Source organism: Homo sapiens, chromosome 3 (genome assembly GCF_000001405.40).
Source record: "Homo sapiens chromosome 3, GRCh38.p14 Primary Assembly".
In the NCBI taxonomy this organism is placed as follows: domain Eukaryota; kingdom Metazoa; phylum Chordata; class Mammalia; order Primates; family Hominidae; genus Homo; species Homo sapiens.
The window spans coordinates 40,984,985-40,996,502 of NC_000003.12; the positions used below are offsets into that span (position 1 = coordinate 40,984,985).

Consider the following 11,518-nt stretch of genomic DNA (forward strand, 5'->3'; position numbering starts at 1 on the left):
TCTGGAGACATGTTTGTTTATCACAACTTGATCGGAGAGGTGGAATATGATTCGCATCTAGCATGGTGCTACTAAACATTATAAAATGCATAGGACAGTCCCCCACAACGAAGAATAATGCTTCCTAAAGAGGAGAAGCATGGTATAGCTGAGGAGGGACTCCAGTAGCTGAAAGCCTCAGTGGTGGCTTTACACTCTTCAGGATGCTGGATGGGCATATTCTTTTACAGGCCCTCCATGAGCAAGGTGCTAACATGAGCGTACACCCTCATGCTAGTGTTTGTAGGCCAATTCACTCATTCTCTATGAGTGACAGAGTCTACTTGAGGAACAAATCATAAGCTTACTTTCTGGCAAGCAGCCAAAGCAAAGGGAGGCAATTTCATTAGAGTCAGAGCCAGAGCTGCAAGAGGCCAGACACACCAGGTTTTGGTTGGATTCTCTAGAAGCAGATCCTGAGATAAGAACCTGATAAGGGAGAGCAGGGAGGAAGCCAAACAAGGGAGCTGTCTCAGGCAAGATCCCACAGAAGATAGTTTCAGCTTGACCCTGCATGGGAGCTCTGGCATGTACGTTTTGCTCTGGAGCACAAGCTACACCTCAGAAAAGGGAATGGGCTCGAATTCTCCCACACTCATTAGCCATTGGTTAAGGGCCATGATGGAGAAGTAAACTCCTAGGAACTTCCAGCCTTTCCTACAGGTGGCCCAAGTGGGCTCCAGCAGCCTGGGGGCAATCCCCCATAAAAACACTGCAGGTTGCAGGTGCTGGCTGTTGGAAGTGAAGATATACCACAGACATGGAGCACGTAAAAATGGTAGAAAGGGATCCTGAGGGGATCTGGGTAGATCACTGACATTGTCTGCTGCACACTTATTTCAGTTGAGGCTGCAGGCCCAACTTCAACAGCAGTCATTTATGGAGTGCCTCACAGGTCCCAAGCACAGCTGCAAGGGACACACACTTTTTAGCCATGGCTCTGTACTCCATCATCTCTAGGTATGAATGCTGTAATTGCTAGCTTGGAGCCTGCATTTGTTTCATTCCAGTCCCCAACTTATGCTTGTGTCTGGTTTGTGTGTTTTTTACATCTTCATTATAGTGCATCTACTGGTGTAATCCAGATGTCAGCAAATCAGCGTCAAACTCCCAAATCCGTGCCCTGTGGAAAACTATGAAGAATTCCCCCTGCCTCCACCAATACTGCCACAATTGCTGGGGCTTCCTTATGATCCCTTCTGCATCTGGAATTTGCTTTAAATATTCCATCTTGAATCAACTCAGACATCACATCAAGCTCCCGTACCCACTTCCACAAAGAGCCTACTGATGCCCAGGGTTAAGCAGGGATTTTGGCTAAACTAACTGAAATTTCCAGGAGTGCAGAAAGAAGTTAGCATCACATAGAGCACAGCCTGCCAGGATTTTGCTGGCTCCTTCTCTTCTCTCTCTAGTTGTCTCCTAAGATCCAGATAAAGTCCTCTTCTGGGTTCTGCACAGCAGGTTAGTAAGCATCTTCTGAGGCTTAAGCTTGCCCTTGGGATCCCAGCAGCACCTCAGTGGTTCATCATTATATTTCTTCTGCATAAATACGATGCTCTTGCGAAGAGGAATTATGTGGAATAGCAAGACTTCCTTCCACAAGCCTTCATTTTAAACAGATTACTTTTTAATTGTGTGCCTTATTCTGAAATATTCCTGCCTGTTCCTTCCTTCATTTATTTCCTTATTTACTAACTTACTTATTTTCATGTCTCGGTTATTGTTTGAGACATGTTTCTTATAAACAACTTGCATTTGGATCTAATCTGGGAGTCTTTGCTTTTATTGTATTCATTATTACATTTATTGTGAAGATTGACATGTTTGCTCTTGCTTCTTTCATCTTAGTTTATGCCTTGTTTTTTATGCCTCTTTGCTTCTTTTCTTCCTATGTTTTGCCAAATGTCTTTTGTTTATTTGCTGTTTTTACCCTAGTGATTTCAAAGTCATGAATTCTATTTTTGCTGGCTTCATGGCTATCCTTACAGTTCAAAAAATATTTGATCTTATATTCTTTTATGCAGGACCTTTCGACACTCTCCGTGAAAAATAAGATCTCCATATAGTTCCATTTCTTTCCCACCTATATACACCTCCAACTTCCCAAGATTTTTTAGTATAACCTTGGCTTTTAAATCCAAGTTACTAATACTGTTACATTAGAAATCTCTTTCTTTTTAAAATTATTTTTAAAATTGTATTGTTTCCTTACACAATTAAATATCCTTATTTATACAATAATTCTAACTTTAAGCTATATCATTTTTTTTTTTCAGACAGAGTCTCACTCTCTTGCCCAGGCTGGAGTACAGTGGCACGATCTCGGCTCACTGCACCCTCTACCTCCCAGGGTTCCAGTGATTCTCCTGCCTCAGCCTCCAAGTAGCTGGGATTACAGGCATGCACCACCATGTCTAGCTAATTTTTGTATTTTTAGCAGAGATAGGGTTTCACCATGTTGGCCAGGCTGGTCTCGATCTCCTGACCTCAGGTGATCCACCAGCCTCAGCCTCCCAATGTGCACATTTCTTTTACATCCTATTTTCCTCATATTTGAGTTCTTTGTCACGTTTGTCTCTAACATCACTAGACTGCTTTTTGAGAAAACAGAATTAAGAAAGGAAGGTGAGCTGCATCCTTTCAGAGACCTTGTCTGGCTAGGAAGTTCTCTATTTGCCTCAGCTCAGAATTATTCGATTGCCATCTCTAACATTGTCCCATTTACCTCCGATTTTTGTTTGTTTGCTTGTTTTTGAGACAGAGTCTCTCTCCCTCGCCAGGCTGGAGTGTAGTAGTGTGATCTTGGTTCACTGCAACCTCCACCTCCTGGATTCAAGCAATTCTCCTGCCTCAGCCTCCCTAGTAGCTGGGACTACAGGCACATACCACCATGCCCAGCTAATTTTTGTATTTTTAGTAGAGACAGGATTTCACCATGTTGACCAGGATGGTCTTGATCTCTTGACCTTGTGATCTGCCACCTTGGCCTCCCAAAGTGCTGGGGTTACAGGCATGAGCCACTGCGCCTAGCCTTCCTCTGATCTTTAGAGTTGCAGAAAATAAGTGAGTTGTCAGCTTTATCTTTTTGTTTGTTTTATCTAGATGGTTACATGTAAGATCTGTTTCCCTTATTCTTAAAAATTTTTAAACTTTCTAGAATATTTCTAAGTGTGCCTTCTTTTACATTAATGTCTCAGATACTTAGTAAACCCTTTTAATCTGAAGATTCTAGTCTTTTTTACCTCAAGAAAATGGCTTTTATTATACCTCCTGAATTCATTTTTTATGACTTTCATCTTTTTGCTCATGATCTCAATCTTTTTACACTTATAAGAAACCTTTTTACATTTCTGAATAATCAGATAATTTATCAAACCATCCTTCAAAATCAATGAGTCTCTTTTCTACCTTATTCACCACGCTATTCATGGTGTCCAGGATGGTTTTCTAAATTAAGGAATTCATGTTTTTCATCAGAAACCAATCTATCCTGATCTCAGATTTCTCCCTTTTCATAAGTGCATTGTCCCCTTGAATCTTGCTGAGAATACAAATTAGAGGGTTTTGTTTTCTGTGGATGCAGTTCCCTGGTTGTTCCCAAGGTTGCACCTTGCCTGAGTGCCTGCCAGTCTCCAGCCCCTGCTAGGAGTGCTTGTGTCAATCAGGGCTGCCATTGTCCACAGCAGATGGAAAAACTAGCTGGGGAGAGAACCATGCAGTAGGAGGGTTCGCTGTGAATTGAAAGCTTCTCCTCACAACACTCAGCAACCTCACATTTTATGGAGTCTTGCAAGGCTTTCTTAGGACCACTGGCAACTTTAGGCAACCCCATTTCATTAACTGTCATGATCAAGCCACATGAGTGCTGGTGATGACCACCATAGCCACTCACTACATATGGTACACACTCGTATGCCTTGTTCATTTGTTTATGCATTCATTCAACAAATTTTTCTTGAGCACCTCTTTGTACCAAGCTCACACTGAAGATATGATGGTATATAAAGTTCTACTCTATAGTGTTTTTATTAGAGTCAGGAGATAGACAATGTACAATGAGTAGGTGATATAATATAAAAGAGTTGTAAGTGCTATCAAGAAAAAAAATCCAAGCCAAGATGTTAGAGAAAGAAAAGGTGTTATTTTTAGTAAGCATGGTCTGGAAAGACCTTTCTTAAGAGGTTTATTAGAGCAGAAACTGGGAGAAAGTGAGGGAGTAAGCTAAGCAGATATTTGTGGGAAGAGGAGTATAGGCAGAGGGGACAGCCAGTGCAAAGGCCCTGAGGCAGAATAGTGATTAGACTTTCTAAGGAAAAACAAACAAGCCAGTGTGGCTGAGGCTGCAAGGGTGAGGCAGAGCAGGACAGGCGGACGTTCTGAGGGGCAGCATGCTACATTGTGTTTGCTTTATGAGGAAGCCCTAAGGGCACCTGGGCCATACTTGAACTTCTTGTGAGAAGGCCCCACCATTCAAGATGCAGGGCATGTCCTTTGCCAATCAGGGACATGCTTTATCACAAAAAGCCTTTCAGCAACCCCAGCCCCAGCATGTGGGTTGGCATTATTCCTGCTAAGCCACAGGCCTGACGTTTGCTGTGATGAGTTCTCTGGCCACCAAAGAACTCCCTGCTGCAGCCTTTCACTAATGTCCAATGTGTTGGGCCAACCTCCCACACTCTGTTATCCATAAGCCTGTTCCTAAGCTTCCACTTTGTTGGTCTGAGCCCTGAGCCTGCTGAGGGTCCACCGGAGCCTTGCTCTGGCAAGTGACCAGATGGCCCTGTCCACTGGGGCCTCTGCAATTCTTAGTCAGCCTGGTTAGGGGACTCATGTCTAAGTGTGTTAATCATACTCGTGCTTAGAGTACCACCTCCTGCCTCTGCTGTTTTGGACACTCCTACTATTTGTCCAAAGTCTGGGTTGTCCTGGCAAGTCCCTGCCCTAGAGTCGTGTTCCTGACCCCCATTCCCATTCTTTGCATTCTTCCCTAGCTCTATCTCCTCCAAGCCTGTTTTTGAGGTTTGTGTGTGTTTCACCCCAAGCCCATCTGAATTTTTGCAGCTAGGCACCTACCATTCTTATCCTACTCTACATTCAGGATAGGTTATGTAAAGGGATGAAATCATATCTAAATTTTTAATAAGCAAAGAAACTTGTAATTAAGGGAAAACAAAAGGTTATTTTTCAAAGGAGAGTTACTAGGATTGAGCAACTATCTGCTTCACTCTGTCCCAACAGACCCAGCCACTGAATGACCTTTCTTAAAGGTCTAAGTCTTTCTGAAAGTTTTAGTTTATGCAATGCAGAGGTCATACATACCTTTAAGTTTTATAACTCTAATATCTGATTGACACTACTGTTAACAAGAAGTTACAGCCTATTCCAAACTATATAGATCGATAAATATGTATTGATTTATATCAAGATAGATTTATATCAAGAAATTCTTTCCTTGCACTCATTTCGCAGAAACCTAGATGGATTTCTCATCAAAATCTGTTGACTAGTCATGCTATATGTGAGAATTCATTCCAAACCACCTGAAATGTTATCAGGTGCAACACCTGGATGAATTATAGGGCCAACATATCACAAAAACTGTCTTCTATAATCATACAGAGTTTTCCTGTGAAAGTCACTCTTAAGTAGAGGGGTTATCCTTTCTACAGATTATGAATAAACCAAATTGATGAAACAAATTCCATTACCTGCCACCTACCCACACCTATTAAGACACCTGTCAATCAAGACCATCTACAGCATCAAGCCACACAGTTGATAGTATTAATTGATCATCCCATGGGCTGTATCTTAGAGAAACTAGCCCAGTGAAATGCAGGACCAGTATGGCAGGTGGCTTAGCAACATCTGATCGAGCATGAACTAGTTGACCTCGAATAGGCCTTCCACTCTGATATTGTCAGTGGTGAGAACACAATATATTTGCAGAGACTCAGAAGTGTCTTCAATGATATCACTGACCTTGTATCATCTTCCAGACAGGATGGTCTTCATAAAGAGTCCAGTTGTCACTGAAGTAATTCAGCAAAGGTTGCTGTTTGTGAAAGAACAAGACCTAAATCAAGCAGTCTTGGATAGGCTTGAAATTCATGGCTTCTCTTTTGAGTCAGCCCACTGTGGATTATGAAAATCTAATCTTTGGTGCTGTGAATAGCAGGTGCTTTGACCAGGTAACCTTAGAAGATGAATTGGCCCAGGATGTTATAAAATTCACAACCTAAGCAGCAATTTTTCAAAACTCTTTTTTGGTAGTAGAAGGAGCACAAATTATTAATATCCAACTTAAACAGCAGTAGTTCACAAGCTGCAGATTCCATTTGTGAAATTTAAATCTCTGAGCAGTGACTGATGGTGCTTGGGGAAAGTGCACCTTCAGTAATACCACACGTTCAGCTGTCTTGGTCTTATTTAAATCAGGGACTGTGAGGAACTCTGATATGGCATATGTTTAAGTCCTGCTGACCAGCAATGTAAGCAAAGTGGGGGCTAGAGGGGTCCTAATGACAGCAGTCATTTCCATTTCAGCAGCACAAGCCCATACCTCATGCAAAACCATCCCCTGTTCCTCCAAACTGCAAGGGTCCCTCATATGCTCATAAACAGCTGTTTTTTCCTCTTCTCTGGCCCATCACTGATGCTCACCAATGAGGAAGCCATTTAAGGGTAGTGCCCACCACTGTGTTTCTTCTAGGGGAACCCAATTGTTTTAGTTGGGTTTCCAAAGAAGCAGAACCTAAGACAAGGATTCAACCACAATTACCTTATGTGAGACATAATCCCAGGAGTAGAGAATCAAGCAGGGAGGGGAAAGAAACAACAGATTTGTTATCAAGCCAATCACCATCATTGGCACCTGAAGTTTAATCTCAATGAGAGACTCTTGGAAGCAACATAGAAAGCACACCTCAGAGTTGGCCCTCTGCCCTCAGGAGTATTTACACACCAGCTCCCATCAGTCATTAATTATTCAAGGGCTATTGGGGTAGGGGGTCTTAGTTCATGCCAGAGAAAAACCTTAGGCAACTGGAAGACAGGCTGGTATGCACTACAACAGTAAGGCCCAAGAGGATATGAGTGGGGAACCCATAGTGTCTGTCTCACCAATACCCATGGTAAAGATGCCATTTCCTGGCTGTTCCCAAGCTAAGAAGACCAGGTGGACCACATTCCCTGCAGGCCTGACTGCACCAGTGTGCACATGTGCAAGCATGTCTGTAGGATACATTCCCAGAAGTGGAAGTGGCTATTGTGAAAAGTACATGTTTTTTAAAATTTTAAGATGTACTGCCAAACTGCCTTCCAAGAAATATTCACCAACTGATTTTTGTTCTACAGTGTATTTGAATTTCCTTTACCCTGCTTTGTAGGATATTGATATTTCCCATTGCTGTAAAATTTTCTATGCTGTAGTCTTACCTTATTGTTTCACTTTTAGGTTAAATTTACATGTAGTAAAATGTAGATATTTTATTGAACAGTTCTGTGAGATTTAACAGATGCATAGAATTATGTAACCACCACCACAATTAAGATTAAAAAAAAAACCAGTTCCCCAAAAATAAAAATACACATATGTCACCTTGTAGTCAACCTTTCTCACACATATGGCCCCTGGCAACCATTGATATGTTTTCTATTTATACAGTTTTGCCTTTTCTAAGTGGTCATATAAATTGAATTATAGAATATATGACCTTTCAAGTATGTCTTCTGTAATGTAGCATAAAGCATTTGAAATACATTCATGTTGTTATGTGAATCAATACTTCATTCTTTTTTATTTACTGAGTTGGAAGTATTACAGCGTGTTTATTCATTTACTCATTGAAGAATTTGTGTGTTCTTTCCAGTTTTTGATGATTATAAATACACATTCATGTACAGGTTTTTGTGTCAACATAGTTTTCAGTTCACTTGGGTAAATACCTGTGAGTGATATTGCTGGGTCATATGAAAACTTTATTAAACTTTGTAAGAAACTGTCAAAATGCTTTCCAAAATGGCTACATCATTTTGCATTTGCACGAGCAAAATACGAGTTTCTGTTTCTCCACATTGTTATTAATAATGTTTCTTTTTCCTTGTTATTAATGATGTTTTTTCTTCCTTCCTTCCTTCCTTCCTTCCTTCCTCCCTCCCTTCCTTCCTTTCTTCATTCTTTCCTTCTCTCCTTCCTTCCTTTTTTAAAATTCTTTCTTTCTCTCTACTTTCTTTTTCTTTTGCCATTCTAATTGTTGTGTAGGGATATCTCATGATTTTAATTTGCATTTTTCTAATGATATATGCTTACTTGCTATCTATATATCTTGTTGGTAAAATGTCCATTCACTTCTTTGTTCATTTTTAATTGGGTTGTTTGTTATCTTATTGTTGAATTTTAAGAGTTCTGAATATATGCAGTAACTCTATCAGCTATGTGATTTGCAAATATTCTTTACCAGTCTATAGCTTGTCTTCCAATTACCTTAAACAATGTTTCCAAAGAGCAGAAGTTCTTAATTTTAATAAAGTCTAATTTATTATTCTTCTTTTATGAATCTTGCTTTTGGTGGTATATTTAAGAAATCTTTGCCTAACCCACATTCACAAAGATTTTATCCTCTATTTTCCGCTACAGCTTTATAGTTTTGGGGTTTACATTTAGATCTATGATCAATTTTGAGTTGGTTTTTGTTTATGGTGTGAGATATGGATCAGGGATTTTTGTCTGTTTGCATGTAGATGTCCAATTGCTCCCACATCATTTGCTGAAAAGGCAATGCCTATTCTATTAAATTTCCTTTGCAATTTTGTTGAAAATCAATCAAGCATATATCTGCGGGTCCATTTTTGGACTTTATATTCTGTCTTATTGATCTTCATGTTTACTTTTGACAAATATCACACTGTTTATCACCGTAGCTTTATAATAAGCCTTGAAATCCAGTAGTGTCGGTCCTCTAACCCTGTTCTTTTTCAAAATTGTTTTGGCTCTTCTAGTTCCTCTGCATTTCTATATACATTTTAGAATAGTTTGTCAATGTCTACAAAAAGCCTGCTGGGGTGTCGATTTGAATGGCACTGAATATACAGATCAACTTGAAGATAACTGATATCTAAACTATGCTGAGTCTTCTAATTCATGAACACAGTACATTTCTATTTAGGAGACTTCTTTAATTTCTATCATCAGTTTTTTTGTAGTTTTCAGCATACTGGAATATACTTTGTAAAATTTGCACCTAAGTATCCACATTTTGGTGCTATTAAAAATGGTACTCTTTAAAATTTCAATTTTTCAGTTTTTCATTGCTAGTGTGTAAAAATGTGGTTAATTTTTGTATATTGACCTTGTCTCTTGCAATGTTGCTAAGCTCCTTCATCCAAAATTTTTTTAAAAGAAACTATCTTGTGTTTTATTCTAATACCTTTATACAGTCATGAGTCCCTTAACAATGGGGATACAGTCTAAGAAATGCACCATTAGGCAATTTTATTTTTGTGCAACCATCATGGAGTGTATTTACACAAACCTAGATGGCGCAGCCTACTACATACTTAGGCTTTATGGTCTAGCCTATAGCTCCTAGGCTATAAACCTATACAGCATGTTATTGTACTGAATACTAGGCAATTGTAACACAACGGTAAGGATTTGTGTATCTAAACACATCTAAACATAGAAAAAGTACAGTCAAAATATGATGCAAAAGATTTAAAAACAGTGCACCTATATAGGGCACTTACCATGAATGAAGCTTACAGGGCTAGTAATTACTCTGGGTGAGTCAGTGAGTGAGTGGTGAGTGAATGGGAAGGCCAAGAAATCACACCACTGCAAACTTTATAAACACTGCACATAAACACAAAAGCCTAAGTTTTTGAATTTTTTTAACTTTTTGACCCTTTTTTTTTTTTAACAATATTTAGCTTAAAACACAAATACATTGTACAGCTAGCTATATGGAACTATTTTCTTTCTTTATATCCTTATTCTATAATTTTTTTTTTTTTTACTTTTTAAGCTTTTTTTGTTAAAAACTAAGACACCAGTACACACATTAGCCCATGCCTACACAGGGTCAGGATAATCAACATCACTGTCTTCCACCTCCACATCTTGTTCCACTGGTAGGTCTTCGGGGCAATAATATGCATGGAGCTGTCATCTCTGATGATAAGAATGTCTTCTTCTGGAATACCTCCTGGAGGACCCGCCTGAGGCTGTTTCACAGTTAACTTTTTTTTATATAAGGAGAAGGAGTACACGCTAAACTAATGATAAAAAGTATAGTATAGTAAATACAAAAATCAGTAACACAGTTGTTTATTATCAAGTGTTACATAGTGTACATTGTTGTATGTGCTATGCCTTTATACAACTGGCAACACAGGTTTGTTTATACCAGCATCACCCCAAACATGTGAGTAATGTTGTGCTACAACTTGATGATGGCCACACGTCACTCAGTGAGAGGAATTTTTCACCTTCATTATAATCTCCATTATAATCACCATTGTTATCTGCAACATCATTTTCAGTGCATGACTGTACTTTTTCTTTTAGATTTAACTTCTTAATCCACTTAGAATATATTTCTGTGTATGGTGTGGTGTTGGAGTACAATATCATTTCTTTCTTTCTAACAGCTTTTTGTGAATAATCCAATCTTTTCTCCCCCTTTCAGCAAATCCTATTACAGAAAAATTTGAATATGGGTGTGCATCACACATATTGAGTTCCTGAATTCAGAGTACTTGCAAACCATTCTGAAAATACACTGCACATGTAAATGCTAAATATACATTCGGCCCTCCCTAACTGTGGAAGATTGGTTCTAGGACCCCTGCAGACACCAAATCCTCTGATGCTCAAGTCCTTTACATAAAATGGCACAGTACAGTCAGACCCCTGCAACCCAGTCTGTGGGTTCCACCAACCATGGATGGAAAATAGATACAGTCGGTTCTCGGTATCTACAGATTTTGATCCATGGATGTGGAACCAGCAAATACAGAGAATGATATGTACTAATATGTAGCTAACATTACGTACTTTTTTTCTTCATTTATGTTGCACCTTATTTCAGAATGGATTATGCCCAGGGTTGTACCATTGTTTCAGCAGTGGAATGTACTAGATAGTTACTTCGCATCTTCATCTCAGTAGAGTTCTTCTGCAACAGGCAGTCTTAAAGGTCCCGCACTAGGGTGACTTTAACTGAGCAGGTTCTCATCACAGGAGCTTTCTGCTTCGATTCTTAGTGAATTCATGTGTGCATGGAGCAATCTACCAAAAAAGAGCCAAAACTGTGTCCTTAGCTCTCACTAGGTAAAGCAAATAGGGGAGGAAAGAGGGCTCAGTGATTTCCTTTTTATTTTGTCACGTAGAGCTTTAAAGAAAAAAAAAAAAGGCTCAAAGCATGTCACCCTGATCCAGGAGGCAGAAAAGAGAGAGTGCAGTATCAGGCAGAGT

The 11,518-nt window shown here is 39.5% G+C and overlaps 1 annotated feature.

Annotated features, from left to right (window-relative positions):
* Nucleotides 10,772-11,272: an enhancer, noted in NCBI's record as "H3K27ac hESC enhancer chr3:41037247-41037747 (GRCh37/hg19 assembly coordinates)". NCBI's record gives its function as "activates a minimal SCP1, AML or CMV promoter by ChIP-STARR-seq in primed H9 embryonic stem cells {active_cell/tissue: H9 hESC(primed)}" and the evidence as "EXISTENCE:reporter gene assay evidence [ECO:0000049][PMID:30033119]".